This window comes from Homo sapiens, chromosome 11, assembly GCF_000001405.40.
Source record: "Homo sapiens chromosome 11, GRCh38.p14 Primary Assembly".
Classification (NCBI taxonomy): domain Eukaryota; kingdom Metazoa; phylum Chordata; class Mammalia; order Primates; family Hominidae; genus Homo; species Homo sapiens.
In genome coordinates this window covers 91358536-91379155 of record NC_000011.10, presented here as the reverse complement: position 1 = coordinate 91379155, position 20620 = coordinate 91358536, and the positions used below count along the sequence as shown (strand labels likewise).

The window sequence follows — 20620 nt, the reverse complement described above, 5'->3', positions numbered from 1 at the left end:
TTTTAAATTAGGCACTGTAAGAGATGAACAATAACTACTAATAAAATAGAACAATTATAACAATATGCCATTGTTACTACTCTTAAGCTTTGGGGCCATTATGGTGGGCCCTCACAGTATATTTTGGAGATTGGTTTCAGGACCTCTACAGATACCAAAATCTGCAGATGCTAAAGTCCCTGTTAGAAAATGGTGTTGTATTTTGGATATAACCTATGGACTTCCCGCCATATACTTTAAATCATATCTTAATTATATAATGAAATGTAAATGTAAATATTGTAAAAATAGTTGTTATCCTGTATTGTTTTTATTTATATTGCTTTTATTTTTGTATTGCTATTTTTATTGTACTTTTTTGTTCAAATATTTTTGATCTGTAATTGGTTGAATGCACAGAGGTGGAACCTGCAGAAACATAGGGCCAGGGCCAACTGCATTATGTAAAATAAGAGTTACTTACTGATTACCAGGCAGGTAGTGTATACAATATAGATACCTTGGACACAGGGATGATTCATGTCTTGGATGGGACAGAGTGGGACAGTGTAAGATTTTATCATGCTGTTTGGAATGTTTCACAATTTAAAACGTATGAATTGTTTATTTCTGAATTTTCCATTCAATATATTCAGACCACAGTTGACTGCAAGTAACTACAGCTGCAGAAAGCAAAGCCACGGTTAAGGGAAGATTACTATATTAACATTAGCATCAAAGATATCCTTTCAGTGTCTGGAAACAGTAAATAGTAAAGACACACACTGGAAATCCAGCCTGCAAGAAAATTTATTAGTGGAGAGGACCTACAAAGGTAAGTTAATACTTTTTTTGAAAGGGGGCTATAGCCTTGTTAACTTCCAACAATAGGGTAGCATATAATGAATACACCAAATCGAGGTTACACAATGTGTACATTTAAGACCACTTTGGTGGGGGAAGGGAGACCATCAGGACAAATAGTTAATGTATGTGAGGCTTAAAACCTAGGTGACGTATTGACAGGTGCAGCAAACCACCATGGCACATGTATACCTATGTGACAAACCTGTACATTCTGCACATGTACCCAGAATTTAAAGTAAAATGTAAAAAAAAAATTAAAATTAAATCTTTAATATTGTTTCTTTTCAGAAATATGAGAGGCTACATTATCTGAAAATTCCTCAGACTGCAGAATTCGTTCACGCTTCTTGTAAAAAGAAATTCAAAGGTCTTTTAAAACATGTAGCTGTCTTTGAAACAAAGAAATGGAAGTTTTCAGGGATGCACACAGAAAAAGACAGCTAATACCAGAGTGTCAAATCAATATTGAAGCTCTACTACTGTGGGGAGTTTAAAAATGCCAAGATTTTTTTTGCCCCCATTTTATTGTAAAAGTTTTAATACTTTCAAAATAGAAAGATTTTTGCCCCATTTTATTGTGAAAGTTTTGAAACTTTCAAGATAGAAATGGCACACCAAAATCTTAGAGGATACACTTATAGTCCTGTCACCTATATTCCTCCATTAACATTTACAGTACTTGCTTTTTTCACATATCTATCTGATATGGTTAGGCTTTGTGTCCCCACCCAAATCTCATCTTGAATTGTAATTCTCATACTCCTCATAACCCCCATGGGTCAAGGGAGAGACCAAGTCAAGGTAATTGAATTATGGGGGTGGTTTCCCCCATGCTGTTCTCGTAATAGTGAGTGAGTTCTCCTGATATCTGATAGTTTTATAAGGGGCTCCTCCCCTTTGTTCAGTACTTCTCCTTCCTGCCGCCTTGTAAAGAAAGTGCCTTGCTTCCTCTTCGCCTTCCACCATGACTGTAAGTTACCCAAGGTCTCCCCAGCCATGCTGAGCTATGATTCAATTAAACCCCTTTCCTGTATAAATTACTCAGTCTCAGACAGTTCTTTAGAGCAGTTTGAAAACAGACTAATAGACCATCCATCTATTCATTCTTCTACCTTTGGGTACAAACACCTTTTGTTTTTTGATGCATGTCAAAGTAAATTCCAGACATCAGTATACTTCATCCTAAATATGTCAGAATAAATATTAATCAGAATTCAATTTTTGACTTTTTAAATTTTGATGTAAAATGTACACACAATAAAATGCATCATTTTTAAACTGAGTTTTGACAAATGAATACAACTGTGAAACCCAGCTCCCAACAGGATATAGAATATTAACTGTACCATCAGGTCAGGAAGTTTGTTTATGACTCTTCCCAATAAATACCCATCTCCGCTTCCCCAGTGGTAACAACCTTCTTGATTTTTTCCCACCATAGAATATTTAATATAAATAGAATCACACTTTATGTACTTTGTTGTACAAGATTTCTTCCTCTCACCATCAATATATTTGAGATTCATCCATTGTTACATGTATCCACCATTTGTTCCTTTTTATTCTGAGTATGATTTGATATGAATATACTGTATTTTGTCTATCCATTTTATTTTTAACCAAAGAGTTTCATAGGTCAATGCTATCAAAATTTCAAAGAATATGACCCTTTATTTGATATAAAGTATTTCACAGAATAGAAAAGTAAAAGAAGGAACCTTTCATCAATGTGCTACCATACCTAGATAAAGGTAATTGAAAAAAAAGAAAAAGCACAAGTCATCTCATTTATTAATGTTAATGCAGAAATCTCTCTTAAAATTTTAGAAAATCTAAGCCAACAGCCTGTAACAGAAGAAAGTTAATAGTTCAACCGCTCAAACACACACAAATACCCTTCAGTACCAACTTGATCTTAACACAGAAATATGAGGACTATTTAACTTTGGGAAATTCGTGTTAGAGCAATTAATTTCATTTGTAACTGAAGGGAAAAAAATACTACATTATTATCCTTACAAGTGACCAAAAAAGCACTTGAAAAATTTATGGTTATATGAATAAAACAACAACAAAAAAGATACCTCTCAGCAAACCAGGCATAATTCAATCTAGCTATGTATAGAAGTGACTACAATCATGAAGTTGATGTCTATCATTCTTAGGCTTGTTTTTATACTTTCATTATATTAACATGTCTTTATATATAGAAAATAATATTTTATAACAAATTTTTACATGCAAAGCAATATTTTACTTATTTATTTGAAATTTGTTTTTTCCCCACTCAATATTATGAATTTACCCAGGCTAGCATCATTGGTAGTATAGTTCATGTTTTAATTCATTTATAATATTCCATTCTATAAATCAAACATATGGTATATATTAATTCTTTTGAGAAAGAGATAATTTTTTATTTGTTACAGAGAGATAGAGTGAGCATCCTTGTGTGTATCTTTTCATGCTCAATTTTCATTGAAGCACAACAATTAGGTCGATGGTTTGTGGGTATTTTCTGCTTCACATGTTGTAAATTTGCTCTACAACGTGTAGCAACTACCATCAGCAGTGACTGAGCAACCCTTTTCCCAGTTCCTCACTAAAATTTGGTGACATCAGTTTTATTAATTAAAAAACTAACTGGAAATGGTATTATTTTCTATTAATGTTCAAACTTGAATATTTGTGAAATTACTAATAATACCTGTGTTAAAATGACAAATTGGGTTCTTTACAGAATGCTTATTCACAAGCTTTGCCCATTTTTTAAAAACTGTGATATTCATCTATTTATTATTTATGTGAAAAACTCTTCACTTATGTTGTATTCAATCTTTGGTTGGCTATGCAGTTTACCATATCTGTAGCTTGATGTTTTATTTCACTTCTGGTGTCATTTGTAAAACACAATATTTTTTATTCAAATGATCAAATGTAGCAGTCTTTACTATTATGATTTGTGATTTTTATATTTTTTAAAGAAATATATTCCTATCTTGGGATCTAAGATTTTGCTTTGTAAATACCTACAAAAATGATGCAAATATAACCCTTTGACCCAGGAATTACTTTCCTGAGTGATAAGGGTACTGAAATGTCTTGAGATAACATGACTTGCTTTCCATTTCCCAGCTAAACAAGGGCAGCTTTGAAACTGAATTCCGTAACTTCTGTTTGTAAGGCTGGGTTGATTTTCACTGTATAAAACCATGGGTGATTTAACATGTTTTCTTCTTAGCAATACTTGCAAGGCTGCACTTCTTAGCAATTCAGTATCTAATATCAATATAATGCAGCTTTAATGCCGAATATCTGACATGTTTTGACAGTCTTACAGAGATGCTACTTTGAAGTAGATGGGAAAGAGACAAGAGGTAAGAAGGAAATTTTGAGCTTTCTTTGCACTGGAACCCACTGTCTATAGGTTATAATGACAGTTGATTTTATAGTGCAATCTGTATGTACCACACACTTTCCATGCTTAATTTATCTAATTTTAGCTCATAAGAATCCTAAGATAGGTATTAATAGTTTCACTAACCTCAGTGAATAAGCAACTGAGACACAGAAAGATGAAGTAAAATGAACCAAGTCAAAAAGCAAAGCTGGGATTCAAATTTAGGTAGCATGGCCTCAGAAGTCATACTCATAACCACTGCATGGGACTGATTCTTCATATTCTAGGTCATATCCTAGGTTCGGCTTACTTAGAAGTATTTTCCTTAAAAATAAATAAGTGAATATGTAAATACATAAATTTACACCATTAATCCATGTTTATAATAAAAAATGAGGGAAAAAAGATACAAATGAGAACGAAACTCCTTTCTATCCCATTACATCAGGGATGATCATGTTAATATGCTTTGTATATCCAACCTGAAGTTTTTCTCACAATATATTATTTTTCATATTTTAAAATTGAGAATTTAACATTATTTTCTCACAATATAATATTTTTCATATTTTAAAATTTGAAAATTTAACAAGTGAATATCGAACATTTTACAGTGATAGTAACAAGCTAATAGACACTATTTAGGATGTATATTACAATGTATCCATGACAAATTCGTGTGTTGGTATTTTCAGTTCTAGGTGGCTTCATGTAAAACGTATCAGTTGTGATTAAATTTGATTACATCAGAAAAACTAAAATTCCAGAGGCTTATGCATGACAGCATTCTTAACAGTATCTATCTCATGTTTTAGTAAAGATTAGATAGATAATTATTATAACAAGCTTAGCCTAGTGCTTGGCATATAGCATCGCTATTATCATTGTTGTCAGTATTATAATTATTACTCTAAAATCACCTGATATTATTGCTGGATTAGATGCATTAGTTATTGGGCTGTCAACCTTTGCATAAGAGCATCCTTCTGAGTATTGCAAATAAATATTAAACTCAAAGATAAATAGAGTTATTTCTGTATTAGTCCATTCTCATGCTGCTAAGAAGAACTGTCTGAGACTGGGTAATTTATAAAGGAAAGAGGTTTAATTGACTCAGTTCTGTATGGCTGGGAAGGCCTCAGGAAACTTACAATCATGGCAAAAGGTGAAGCAAACATGTCCTTGTTCACAGGGTGGCATGAGAGGGAAGTGTCCAGCAGAGGGGGAAAATCTTCGTATAAGACCATCAGATTCACTTACTATCACTAGAACAACATGGGGGAAACCGCCCCCATGATTAAACTACCTACCAACAGGTTCCTCCCACGACACGTGGGGATTATGGAAACTACAATTCAAGGTGAGATATCATATCAGTCTAGAAAACTAAATGCTGCCCTTGAAATGAAAGAAAAATGGACATAAAACATATTAGCCTGGTAAAAGCATGTAGAAGGATCTCCACTCTTTTTTCCTTGATTTTTTTTCTGAGATTTTCCTAGGTTTCAAATATTCGCTCCTAATTTTGCTTGCTGCACCTGTAAATTCAATAGGCTCTAAAATGAGCAATACTTGAGAGACTGGGTCTCTTAAAAGAAGGCACAGTTATCTCACCCATTGCTTTTTCTCTCCCATCCCTTTTCCAATAAAACTAAGAAAGCCTGGGATGGATAAAGCCCTGAATTTTGATAAAAATATTAAACTTGAAAGGCTGTCAGATTTTCTAAGTGTAATTAAGTAGGATGAGGTACTAGAATGGGTGATGGCACAGGCTAGTCAAAAAAATTATTATATGTTTAAAGACTCCCTTCATAATGATTGTAGCAGGAATAAAAACAGACCAATCTGGATAAAAGAAAATACTCAGAAAATTATCAAAGAAAAGAAATCAGTGTCTCAGATGTCTGAGATTTCAGGATAAGAATAACCTGGAGATATTAATAGTCATTTGAGAAGAAGAGCTTATGAAAAGAGAAACTATCCTAAATAATAATACAGTACTTTTCACGCTAGAGAATGTGGTAAATGGATATGAAAACTGCTTTGATCACATCAGTCTAGCAGCAGAATTCATCGGGCTTTTAACCATTTTAAACTACTATACAAAGGACATCTAAATGCTGAAAGTACAGGTAAAGTGTAACAAAGCTACTTTTTAAAAAATATTCAGATTTGACTACATAATCTCGGAGGTATTTCCTATCTCTTAAATTCATGATTTTGACATGCATCTTGTGGAACTTTTTGGATTTTCTTGTCATGGTTTCCACTTAAGGCAATATATCTAAAGAAATTGTAAATAATACGGTTCAATATAAATGTGAGCTGTTATGAATTTAGTCCAAGACTTATTTGGACACTCTTATTGTAGAAAGCATAAACAATACTTACATATATTGTATTACCTAAGAACTTGTGAAAAAATTAGGATCAGCATTTGTAAGTTGAATAAACAAAAGGTCTGTAACTCCTTGTTTATAACTTTGGCACTGATAAAATTGAATTCCAATTATTTTTGAGTGCCAATCTTTCCTTGAGGGTAGAGGTAAGGTCTCCTGTGCAGGAAGAACCCTGCAATTGTAAGCCCTTATTACAGGTGAGTTGAAAGCCTCTATGATTTTTTATGTAAACCCTCCTGCAGGGGAATGATTGGGGAACAGGGTAGGTTGCCTATTATATGATCAGACATAGAACACTAAACTAAGAATTAACCTCATAACCTACCCCCTGAAAGTGATTCCCTTCTATTACTTTTGCCTAAATGAATCCTTCTTAAGAAACCTTTTGAATATCTCATGAAAGCTATGTAATCTCTCCCCAGGGCTGGGGAGGAGACAAGCATTCAAAATCTTGCATTCAATTTTAGAGGCTTCCTAGAGCTATTGAAAACCACTGATGTATCCTCTGAGAGATCCATGAACATCACATTGGGAACCCTTAATCCAATCCTTTGGTAGGAAACAAGAAGTTAATTTTCCTCTAGTCAATTTATCTAATTACATGTAAGTCACAACAATTTTATATATTTCTTTTCTATTTCATTTTTTCTCATATATATATATATATATATACTAAGACATAAAGCAAACCTGATCCAAACATCAGCAAGAATATATATATATATATATATATATATATATATATATATATATATATATATATATATAATTTCCATTGAAGGTTCAAGTTAATTAAAATTTGTCATGTAGGCATCAAAGCAGTCTATTCACTAACATGTGTCAAGTTCTATTTTATCTGTTCAAATATTTGGAAGGGCTATTTTATCAAATGGCAGGTAGTCACACAAATCATGTACTGATTTCTTGGGGCATGTGGGGGGGAAACTATATATTATGTGTGTGTGTTAGATATGTATTATTTTATTATTATTTATTGTTATATGCTTACAATTATTTATTGTTTACTACCTGTTTCCTCTGCTTTGAGGGCCATATTTTTGTCTGTTTTATTCTTTGTTGTATGACCAATGCCTGGAACATAGCATCTGGCACATAGAAGTCACTCAAAATGCATTTGTAGAATAAATGACTTAACAAAGTAAGTTATTGAGAATGGAAGGAAATTTTATTATATACTTCAGTACATGGCTTCAGAATGTGCACCTGCTACATTCATATTAGTATAGAGTTTTCATAGTTTCTCATGATAGGTAACATTTGCTTCAATCTAAGAACATTTATCTTTATTGAATACTACCACATGCCAGGTATTGTGCCAGCTGCTTTATCAAATTATCTCATTAATCCTTGTAGTAACTTTCCAAGTGTGTATCGTAATACTTATTTTACAAATGAATCCTCTGAAACCAGAGAGTTTAAACAGTCAAGGTCACATACCTGGTAGGTTGTAGGACTAATACTTGAAATCACACATCTCTGTTGTTATGTAATACATTAAAATAAGACTATACCTATTCATAGATTTGAATTCTAATCTCTCACCATTAGGGCCAAACTTCTAGAAAAAAACATAAGGTATGATATCTGCCATCAAATAGTGAACAGGGATAAATGTGCCATAAGATTTATCTTCATTTCACCAATACAAGATTGTAGCCATTTTTTAACTAAAAAAACTTTTAAGATCTATTTTCAGAGGCTATTGGTTATATGAAACAAAAAGACAACCATATTTAGGAGCAAGACATAATATGTTTAGACAAATTCACTATTTATCATTATCAAATCAACATATGAGAACAGGTGATAGATTTCATTGCTGGTCCCAGCTCCTCAACCCTCCCTTTATCCATGCTCTTTGCCATGAGTCTTTGTAGTTTCTCGCACTGAAGGAGCAGAGAATGAATCTCCCTATTCCTTGACTTTGGGTTTCCCCATGTACCTTGCTTGAGCTAATACAATAAGGTAAAAGTAACAGTGTTACACCTTTGAGCCCAGATCTTAAGAAACCTCATGTTCCTGCTTTCCATTTGCTTTTCATCTTGAAAAGTGCTTGAAAAATCTGAAGATTTGCCCCTCCTCATTCTGGGCCCACATGGCCAGACATGAAGCATACCTGAACTGAAACCTCAGCAAGAAGCCAAGTTCATCCAGATCCATAGCTAGAGGCAGAGCCATTCAGGTGAAGCCAGCCTATATCAACCAATTCACCCAAACCTGCAGACATATTAATAATAATAATAAATAGTTGTTATTTAAAGTCTCCAAATTGTAGGGTGATTTTCTTATGCCACCATAGCTACCTGTCCCAGAGCATAAGCTGACATTTCTGTTTCAGTCTTCAGTGTCACAAAATTGAAGTAACTCCAGTGGTAATACAAAAATATGTGTGTGTGTACAGCACACACACACACACACACACACACACACATACACACAACTTAAAATCCTTTAGGCTTCTATAATCCTCCTATTCTTAGATTTGCCATACAAGAGAGGCCAAGTTTCAAGAACAGAACTTTACTTTTCACTTGCATAGTAGTGAACTACAATATGTATCTGATGGATCAAATATGTAAAATTATGGTTACTGCATACAGCCACAACCAGCTGTGAATTAAAGTGCTAAAAGAAAATTAAGTAACTTCCAAACCTATACTTCATAATTTTGTTGACACAAATGCTGTAAGAAAAGTGATGGAAGGCAGAACTAATCAACATCCCAGAAATGTCTGAATGTATTAGGAAAAACAGAATGCAATACAATCACCATGATGTAATTGGGAGAGAATCCTCACTAATTAATTTCAACTGATGACTTGCAGAGGCCATAGTATAATATAGTAAGAAGCTCTATAGGACATTAAAGTTAGGACTGTCACAGGCTTTGACAGAGTAGATTCTCCTAAGGCTTTTTATATAAACATGCACATGCACACACATACAGAGAAATAATGTATTTCCCCTTGAGGGTTTATTTAAGTTAACTAAAAATTGATGTTGATTGTCATGTAAGTTACTGAAGCAGTCTATTCATTAATGTGTTCCAAATTCTATTTTATCTGTTCCAATATTTTGAAGGACTACTTCATCAAAACATGGCAGGTAACCATGGAAATCATAGAGCAATTCAGTGAAGAGAAAAAATTGATTAGTTTAGCGTAAGAGCAAGGTGAGTATGTGGCACTGGACAAATAGGCTAGCTTCTAGGTGAGAACCCAGGAGGGAAGAACTAGCCTCTAGATCAGAACGGGGGCATATTAGGAAGCCTGTCCTTTCAATTTTCTTTAACCTAAGGTATTTTTTTTTTCTACACAGAAGATGGAAATAAAGTACAAAAATAATATTTAATTTTCAATTTTGTCTTGATAATATATAAGCTATGTAGATTTAGATAATTGTTAAGTTATTGTGGCTTATGTACACATTTTATGCTAGTAGTTTTTGTTTATAAGATATGTGTGCATTGCATGGAGTATAGCCCTCATACAATCCTATAAGGCAAGTAATAGTAGCCCCATCATACATATGAAGTGCAAAGAGATAAGGGACTTGCCTGAAGTCACCAGGGTGGGGCTGTGAGTCTGGGACTTGAATGAAAGTCTATCCAAGTTAAAGTCAAGAGTTAATTCCATAGTACCATCGCTAGATAATGTTACTCAGCTGGAAACTAGAGGGTTTCTAGGGAAGCACTTGATTTAAAGTCGGCAAAAAGAGGCTTAAAGGGCATTGTTCTTTATAGAAAAAAAGGTATTTGCTTCTTTTAACTAATCTACCCATGCTGAATACCACTATGTACAAGAAACTACAGTAGCGTGAACCCGGGAAGCGGAGCTTGCAGTGAGCCGAGATTGCGCCACTGCAGTCCGCAGTCCGGCCTGGGCGACAAAGCGAGACTCTGTCTCAAAAAAAAAAAAAAAAAAAAAAAAAAAGAAAAGAAACTGCAGTAGAATCAAAGTGAATAGGATCTAGTCCTTACCTGCCAAAGCCTTCTAGCCAAATGGTGAAAGAGGTTGCCAGTCATCAGTCATCACATTCACAATTAAAATATGTTAGAAATTATGTTGTGATGCAGGCATTAAAGTGATGAAATGAAGTTATTCTGAAGACTCAAAAGAGGAAAGTATCCTATTTTTTGATAGGAAATTGGGAAATGTTTAAAAAGCAGGGTACTTTTTCAGACAGGGCTTTGAAAAATAAAGAGGATTGCAGCAGAGTTATTGTTACCGGTGGTTGGAAGAGAGGTGTGATAAGGAAATCTTTTAAAGAGGGAACAGTGTAAGAAAAATATGTGACATGAGATATTATAATGCATATTTTAAAAGTAGTAAGATTTGTGGTTTTACTGAGACTTAGAAAATGTGCAATTGGGTTTATAAAATAAAGCTGGCATGTGGGTTGATATCGTGTCTTGGAGACACGATATCAATCCATAAAAATAGCATTTTTAGGGATTTCGATTATTCAATGGTCTAGGAGTTTCCAGCATCAGAGTCACCTCAACGGCTTGTTGAAACACATATTTCTGGTCCGCACTCATGAGTTTCTTATTCAGTAAAAAAGAAGTGGGGCCTGAGAATTTTAATTTCTAACAGGTGATGCCAATGCTGTTCTCAGGTGATGCCAATGCTGCTGGTCCAGAACAGTAGTTTGTGAACCAATGCAATAAACAAAGGTCATCTAGAAAGGACTTATGAGCAAGAAAATGACTGGATCATGGTGATGCGGCACAAAATCAATATTTTTTTGTAGGATAGATCAGAGCAACGAAGGTAATATGGTTTGGCTCTGTGTCCCCACCCCAATCTCATCTCTAATTGTAAGCCCAACAATCCCCACATGTTGAGGGAGACACCGGGAGGGAGGTGATTGGATCATGGGGGTGGTTTCCCCCATGCTGTTCTCGTGATAGTGAGTGAGTTCTCATAAGATCAGATGGTTTTATATGGCGGTTTTCCTTGCTTTTGCATACACTCTTTCTCTTGCAGCCCTGTGAAGACGGTGCTTGCTTCTCCTTCCATTATGACTATAAGTTTACTGAGGCCTCCCCAGCAATGCGAAACTGTGAGTCAATTAAACCTCTTTCCTCTATAAATTATCCAGTCTCACATATTTCTTTATAGCAGTGTGAAAATGAACTAATATAGAAGGTCACTGTAGTTTAGGAGGCTATTACAATAATATAGGACGGAGTGGATAGACGTTCTAAGAAAACCAATACAAAGAGGAAAGTAAAATACCCAGAAGCTGTCAGTTTTATCCCCATGTATTCTCACTTCAGCCCTCACCTACCCATATAAGAATCTGAAAGGTCAAAAAACTAATATAGTTCAAAGAAAGTAAACTATAAAAACAAATATCAGTTATTATATGTGAGTCACTTTAAAAATTATATATGCTTAGCCAGAGTAACGTTTAGCTATAATGAAACTAAAGGAATGTAGTTACAGCCCTCACGGAGCTCATATGAAGGGGAGCCACAGAGTCATAGATTTGCAGGCTCTCTACACCCCGACCAGGGAGAGGTCCTGGCTGCCGGGCAGGTATTTCTCCAAAGTGGAAATAGATGGATGTTTTCCACAAGTTGCATTTTTTCTCATATTAAATGAATAAATTAACATTTGAGTTTACGATTTTCTCTCTTGAGCCATGGCCGCAATAAATAGGCAGGACCAGAGGAGAAAACCAAACCAGTGACAGAGAAAGGAATGTGGACTTTAGAGAAGAACTGAGCAGTGAACTACACACTTTAAGCAAGGTCTATGTTGTCAGAGGTAAACAGGCATTGTAATTGGGGACTTGTGGTGCTAGGTTAGATTTTGGACTTTCAGGACAATGAGAGGTTTGCATTACCTAATCTGTATGCATAGGCAAATTTCTGTTCTTTATTGTTTGTGATTGGGTTAACAAATTCAACCCAAGGAAAATTAATTTAGTGGCATTAGGTAAAACAGCAAAGAAACAAAATGGACGAGGGAAGTAGGCTAGATGGGAAATCGATGCCAGGAACATTGCACATTAAATTTAGTTCTCCTCTGCATTTTTCAGAGGAAGCAGGGAAGAAGTACGGTCTGTCCTGTGCTAGCTAATGAAGGCTCACCACATTGCTATATTTGAATTTGTTTAGCATACCGATTTGCACAATAAATTTAGAATTTAGAGGGAAGCACAGATTCCAAGCTGTCCATACTCAGGTTTGGGAGTTACAGTGTAACAAGGACATTCTCCAGAGAAGAAAATCAAGGAGCCAAGCAACCCATCCCAAACCGGATTTTGTGAGATCAGCAGAATGAAATGTGTATGAAGAGGTCAGGGACTTATAAATCCTGGGATTAGATTTTAAAGTGAACACAGCTCAGCGCCTAGCCAAGAAAGAGACAGGGGAGTTGGTAGTTATGGTGATATGCCGAATCATTTGCCAAACATCAGGAGAGTGAAAAAAGAACAGGGAAATGTAATCCTGTTGTGTCTATTCTGAGAGCTTGAGAATATAAATCATTTGAAAGTTATTCTCGCGAAATGCAATATAAAGCCCTAATCACCTGAAATTCCTGTCACCAGGTTCAAGAGGAAGCTTAGCCTTTAGTACCTCCAAAGAGCTGGTTCTAATTGCATAGATGGTTTCTTCAAAACACCCAAAAGTAGGGGAAGGGGTAGAGAACAAAGATCTATATTGGATTTTACTCCACAAGATGTAGTACTCATGGGTGGCCAAGAAATCTTAGTTCAGTTAATTATTTAGCATGTAATTTTGTGCTATGTATTTTACTAGATATTGACTTGCTGTGGTACATTTTTTTAAAGTGTAGGAAGAGACAGAATGTTGGATACTCACATAATAACAGTTATAATGGGTGCTATGAAAAAAACAGGTTTCAATAAAAATGTTAAACAGAGCAACATAATCTAGTTTTAGAAGCTAAAGGAATCTACAGAAAACAACACAAAGTTTGTCCTTGAAGAATGAACAGTGACCAGTTAGATAAATGTGTTTGTAAAAAGCATTCTGAGAACACATAATATGTAAAGTCTCTAAAGTAAAAAGTAGCTGAGTATGCCCAAGAAACTGAAAGAAAGTTGTTGTAGTTACAAATACTGAGTGAAATAGAAAGGATGTAAAATGAGTGAGATAAAGTTGCAATTTATAAGGGACCATAGAGCAACTAAAGATTGTGTGTGTGTATGCATGCACACACGTGAATGTATGTCTGATAAAGTATCTAACAAAAGGTATATATATATATATATATATATTTTTTTTTTTTTTGAGACAGGGTCTCACTTTGTCACCCAGGCTAGAGTACAGTGGCGTGGTCTCAGCCTACTGTATCCTCAACCTCCAGGGTTCAAACAATGCTCCTGCCTCAGCCCCTCAAGTAGCTGGGACTACAAGCATGTGCCACCACACCTGTCTATTTTTTTTTTTTTTTGGTAGAGATGGGGTTTCGCCATGTTTCCCAGGCTGGTCTCAAACTCCTGAGCTCTAGTGATATACCCACTTTGGCCTCCTAAAGTGCTGGGATTATAGGCATGGCCTAGTCAGGAGGTAGAAATACATATATTTTATATATATATATATATATATATATGCGCACATATATATGTGCCGAATATTTTATATTATCATAGCCAAGGCTATTGGTTATGATTATCACCTTTATATTGTCCCTCTTGTCATCTGTACAAGGGATATTGTCCCTCTTGTCATCTGTACAACTTTTAACAGGAGTGGTATTGATACTAAGCATGCCTTCCAGATATTCATTAGGGATGTTCACAATACTAGAGTTTCCTTCCACTCATATGTATAACTGAACCTCCATGGAACTTTGATATTAGGTGAATCCACATGACTTGCTTTAGCCTATGCAATGTGAGCAGCACTGTGGCTGTTACACATGCAGAAGCATGAAGAGTCATTGTGCAACATGCCCTGTCCTCTGCCTATGCTGCGGGAACCATGAAAGCCCGTGTGGAGGTGGGTCCTCTGTTCATCACCTGGGATTCTAGTTAGACGTATAACCATGTAGAAGTTGCTTATTGTCTCAATGTTTTCATTTACTAAATAGTAACAACTCTACCAACTTGCTTTCCACACAGGAAGTTCAGTGTGTAATACAGGATAACAGCAACATTCTATACACATAACAATTATTGCTGAGTAAATAATCCGTTGGTATAAATATAATCAGGAAATAAAAAGCAAAGTGAAAATGCATCTTCAAACTTTTCTAATTGTGAATAGAAAATAATGCAATAAAGACCTTGCATTATTAAGATAAGCAAAATCCTCTGCTGAGCTGGAGCAAATTTTATGCTTATTACATCAAGAGGGATTTTTGATCAAAAACTGCTTAAATTTGATTATCATTGTATTCCCCTATAATCTAACATGGACCTTCAGACTATTCTTATCACTGGATAACTGGCTTTCAAATAATCACTCAAAAAAAAAAAAAAAAAGGAATGCCAAGAATGGCAAAGTAAGGAAAGTAATGCGTGGCCTTCCAGATGGCAGAAATTAGCACCTCCTTCCAACTCATGACATAAATACATGTCTCTTGCTGATACTTTCTAGACCAGTGGTTTTCAAAACAGGTGCAGTGAGACATTGCAATGTTGAAGTCACTTGTAAGGTAAGTCATAAGTAATTTGTTAGGAATACAGTACTACAGTTTATGAATTGTTGGCTGAAAATAATTAGAATTGATTCAACATCATTCTTGCATTCTGTTACGCTTCTTGGGGTGGGAACAAAGGATGCGTAGGAATGTGGTATGTGTGCAGCTTAGCCTATGCATTATCAAGAACACCAAGTTCCCAGGTGAACACCTGGGATTCTAGTTAGACGTATAACCATGTAGAAGTTGCTTATTGTCTCAATGGTTTCATTTACTAAATAGTAACAACTCTACCAACTTGCTTTCCACACAGGAAGTTCAGTGTGTAATACAGGATAACAGCAACATTCTATACACATAACAATTATTGCTGAGTAAATAATCCATTGGTACTAAATATAATCAGGAAATAAAAAGCAAAGTGAAAATGCATCTTCAAACTTTTCTAATTGTGAATTTAAGCTGTGCACATGTTAAGAAATATCTAATTAACTGAGACAACAGTTGCTAGGTTGTATGTAACTGGAAATGTAGCCACTCCAGAATTCCAAGGCAGGCAAGAGAATTGTGAATTAAGGAGCTGAAAAAATTTCCACCAAGGAGAAATTATGGAAACTGGGTCTTAATTGCTAGGAGGATTCAGAAGCAACGAGAAAACTGAACATGACGTTTTGAGATGTTTGAAACTGAATTCTTACTCTGGACCACATTGGCCTAGTTGATAGGAAGCTTCACATATCACACAGAACGTTGCTCTGAAATTAGTAGTGCAATTATTGCAGTCCTACTCTATGTAAAAATTAGAAACAACAGTGGTAGCTGCAAGGCACATTTGAGTATCTACAAGGATGGAGGCAAGGAAAAGTGAAAATTGTAAGGGAGAGGCAAAACAGAAGTGCTATTTTTTTCAGTGCCAATTCAGGACCAAACACTAGTAGGCATTTTACCTTTGCATCATCTAGTGCTCACAAAGCTTTGTTTACTGAATATTATTTCCTTCTAATTTAGAGATGAAAAAACTGAGGCTTAGAAAGCTTATATAACATTTTCAAGATTTTACATCGTAAAAGTGGTGGAGAGGAGATATTTACCCAGACCTATTCAACTTCTAAGCCTATATGTATTTATCATGCCAATTTGTTTTCCCAAAGATTTTACAATCTAGTGATGGTGGCAGTTAGGATGGAGGGGGGTAGAAGTTATAAATAAAAAGATGTAAGACAGCATATGATAAGTGCCAAATGACTAATATTTAAATTAGAATAGAAAGTCTAGCTGAAATGGACACAAATTGTAAGGAGACACATTATCTTTGATAGGGTGAGGTCCAGGACAGATATATCAAGTAGCCTATTTATGTCATTAAATACCCTGTTTATTTTAATCTTTAGTATATCACAATGAGTTGTGATCTTAATATCTCAAAATGGAGTCACTCATATCAAGAGGCATTAGGCCCACAGTGAAGTTGTTTACCCTTCATAGCAGTAAACACATATGTAATGCACCAAAATGAGAAGATAACATCTGCTGTTGCCCAGTCCCACAGAAGACCTGAAACAACCGATAGAAAGTAAATCCAGAAAAGTGGCTAAGATAATGAGAATATACACAACTGCAGAGAATCCTAAAAGCAGCAAGGAGGAACTGATCCTGTCTGAGACCCCTTTGGAGTCTCTGACCCTGAGAACTTTGAAATCTTCTCCCAACTTGGCATCTGCCACCAGAGGTTCTGGAAGAAATGACTCCCCTGTCGATCGGTGTCTGAAGAATTTCTTGTCACACTTGACGCTTCTGTTGGCATGCTGGTCCCCTGAGCCATCACTGTAGTTTGTTAGCCCCTTTTTTATTACCGACTGTGTGTTCAATATTAATTGATGATTTGTGGTGTGTGAAGGCTTTGCAAAAATCTGTGAATTTGAGCGTATAATAATTGGCTACTGATTCACTATGAATCCTCTTGACATCAGTCAGTGAGCACACCTAGGCCAGATGAACCGAATTAACACAAACATCTTTGTGCAATGTCCTCAGAGTTATCTTTATTCTCAGGCTAAGAGCAAGATGGTCCCAAGTTTGATGGCTAGACCACCATCTAGAAAAATAAGGACTTATTTCTTCATATGATTCTATGTTAGAAGCAAAGGAAATTTCCTTACAGGTTTCAGAAAATGGGTCGTGTGGTCACTTTTGATTCATGTGTAAGTAGGGGGAATGGGTTACCCTAAATAACATTAGCACTCAAATCATCTCACCATATGTTAAAGACCAAAAGTATAAAACTCCTAGAAGAAAACACAGGGGAAATCTTTACTATATTGGTATTAGCAATAGCTTCAGGGATATGACACTGAAAACACAGGCAACAAAAACAAAAATAAATGTCTCTATCAAACTAAAAAGCTCTGCACAGCAAGGGAAACATTCAACAGAATAAAAAGGTAACCTACAAATGGAAGCAAATATTTACAAACTACCTATTTTATAAGGGATTAATCTGAGTGAAACATATAAGGAGCTTCTACAACTAAATAGTAAATAAAATTAATGATGAATAAAAAAAATGGGCTAAGGGCTTGAATAGACGTTTCTCCAAAAAAGACATACAAATGGCCAAACAGTAAACAAAATTTTTGCTCAATGTCAGTAATGAAATGCAAGTTAAAACCACAATGAGATATTACTTCAAGCCTGTCTGGATGGCTATTATCAAAAAAAAAAAAACAAACAAAAAAACAAAAAACAAATGTTGGCAAGGATGTGAAGAATTTGGAATCATTGAACATGTCTGGTGGAAGTGTAAAATGGTGTAGTTACTATGGAACACAGTATATAGGTCCCTTTAAAAATTAAAAATAGAACTCCATGTGATCCAGCAATCCTATCTCTGGATATTTATGCAACAGAATTAAATCAGGATCTCGAAAAAGATCCTTATGTTTATTGCAGCATTCCAATGTTGACTGCAGCATACTCACAATAATCAAGATGTGTAAACAACCTAAATGTCCCTCGACAGATGAATGGATAAAGATTGTGAATACTATTTGTGACAACATGAATGAAACTTGAAGACATTTTAAGTAAAATAGGCTGGTCATAGAAAGACAAAGATGGTGTAATTCCACTTATATGAGGTATCTAAGATAGTCAAAAATCATAGAATCAAAAAGTGAAATGATGGTTATCAGGGTCAGGAAAAGGACTAAATGGGCATGACTAATCAGCAGGCATATATTTTTAAGCAACAGTGAGCAAGCTCCAGAGATCACCCTGTACAATATAGTACTTACAGTCAATAATAATGTGTCATGCACTTACAAATGTAAGAAGGTAGATCTCATGTTCAGTTTGTTTTATTTACCCTTAAACCACTGCTGGAGGTGAGAGTAAGGTCTATATCCCTGAGACTCATAACTATAAGTAAAAGAGGTGAAGTATTACCAGAAAAAAAGGTGACATATCCTATCTAAGAATTCTTGCAGATGCAATAATTGCTTGTTTCTCCCTGGGATAGTTGATGAAGACATTATGGAGGAGAATGCATGGGACTTCTTTTTGATAATAAGGCAGGATTTCTTCTCACCTTCCACCTATTAGAAAAATATGTGAATAAATATAGATGAAATATGTTTTTCTCAGATATATTTTATATATACAAAGAACAAGCAGCTCCATTTTATTAAGCAATTATATACTATTGTGCTAACAGATTTATATGAATTTATTTAATTTCTGCAACAATCATATACAGTTATTTGCACTTTTACAATGCCCATTTTGCAAATGAGAAAACTTAGAGCTTGGAGATGTTAGGGCCTAAGACACACCACTAGAAAGCAGTAGAACCTTTGGGTATATACCTAGTAATGGGATGGCTGGGTCAAATGGTATTTCTAATTCTAGATCCCTGAGGAATCGCCACACTGACTTCCACAATGGTTGAACTAGTTTACAGTCCCACCAACAGTGTAAAAGTGTTCCTATTTCTCCACATCCTCTCCAGCACCTGTTGTTTCCTGACTTTTTAATGATGGCCACACCAGGGACTGTTGTGGGGTGGGCGGGAGGGATAGTATTAGGAGATATACCTAATGTTAAATGACGAGTTAATCGGTGCAGCACACCAATATGGCACATGTATACATATGTAACAAACCTGTACGTTGTGCACATGTACCCTAAAACTTAAAGTACAATAATAATAAAATTAAAAAAAATTTTAAAAAGGCCAGGCACGGTGGCTCACGCCTGTAATCCCAGCACTTTGGGAGGCCAAGATGGGTGGATCAGAAGGTCAGGAGATCGAGACCATCCTGGCTAACGCAGTGAAACCCCGTCTCTACTAAAAATACAAAAATTAGCAGGGCGTGGTGGCGGGCGCCTGTGGTCCCAGCTACTTGGGAGGCTGAGGCAGGAGAATGGCATGAACCCTGGAAGTGGAGCTTGCAGTGAACCGCGATCGCGCCACTGCACTCCACCATGGGTGACAGAGCGAGACTCCATCTCAAAAAAAATAAAAAATAAAAATAAATAAAAAATAAAAGAATAAAAAAATTTTTACTTGGAAAAAAAAGAAAGTAGTAGAACCACTATTCAAACTCAGTCTGACTCTAAAAGCCAGCTCTTACACAGTACTACATTAGATTTTATATATGAAATATTAATACATATTAGAACACGAGAAAGGAAATCCCCTCAATTCATTACAAGCAGCAATCCTGTATCAGTCCATGATGGGTGATAGGGTCTCTCTCTGTCATCCATTTCAGCAGACATTCATGTAAATCCATTTTAAAACTCCTGACCTACTGACAATCAATAAAAGTGAATTTGAAAATCTGTCTTTTCCATGCAGCTATATAATCCATACTAAATAATTTGCTTATCTGTTTCTGAATAAAGTTATACAAAAGAAGAGAAATCAAGACTTTGATGAAACACTAGGTGTCTTTCCTTTCTCCAATCTCTAACTATTGCCAGACAGAGCCTAATGTTGCGGAGGACTCTGAACCTTTTGTGCATCCTCTTTGGTTATATTTACAAGGAATGAGGTGGCCTTGAACGGCTGTAGGAGTAGGCCATGCTAGTCCACAGATTGGTTGTCAACAGATTTTAGGTAATTGTGGCAGGTAAGCTGACTGGCGTCATCACAGACAGACATTTATTTGTGGACCAATAAATATTTTTGTAACTTTGGTGCTACTTTTGATGAGACCAAAATCCATAAAAATCTTTGGGCACCATATGCTAACTGCTTTCAAAGAAAAAAATTGACAATCTCTTTGCAATTCCAACTGTCACTTTCACAGTAGCAGATAAAGGAGGGTCTG

General features: G+C 35.5%; 1 long non-coding RNA gene across 1 annotated transcript in view; it reads left to right on the top strand.

The window, feature by feature from the left end:
- Positions 1–639: 639 nt before the first annotated feature.
- LOC107984371 (uncharacterized) overlaps positions 640–20620 on the top strand; it is a 63332-nt gene continuing 43351 nt past the window's right edge. Inside the window, exon 1 of the long non-coding RNA XR_001748074.1 lies at positions 640–814. This is a non-coding gene — a long non-coding RNA (uncharacterized LOC107984371). The remainder of the gene's footprint in view (positions 815–20620) is intronic.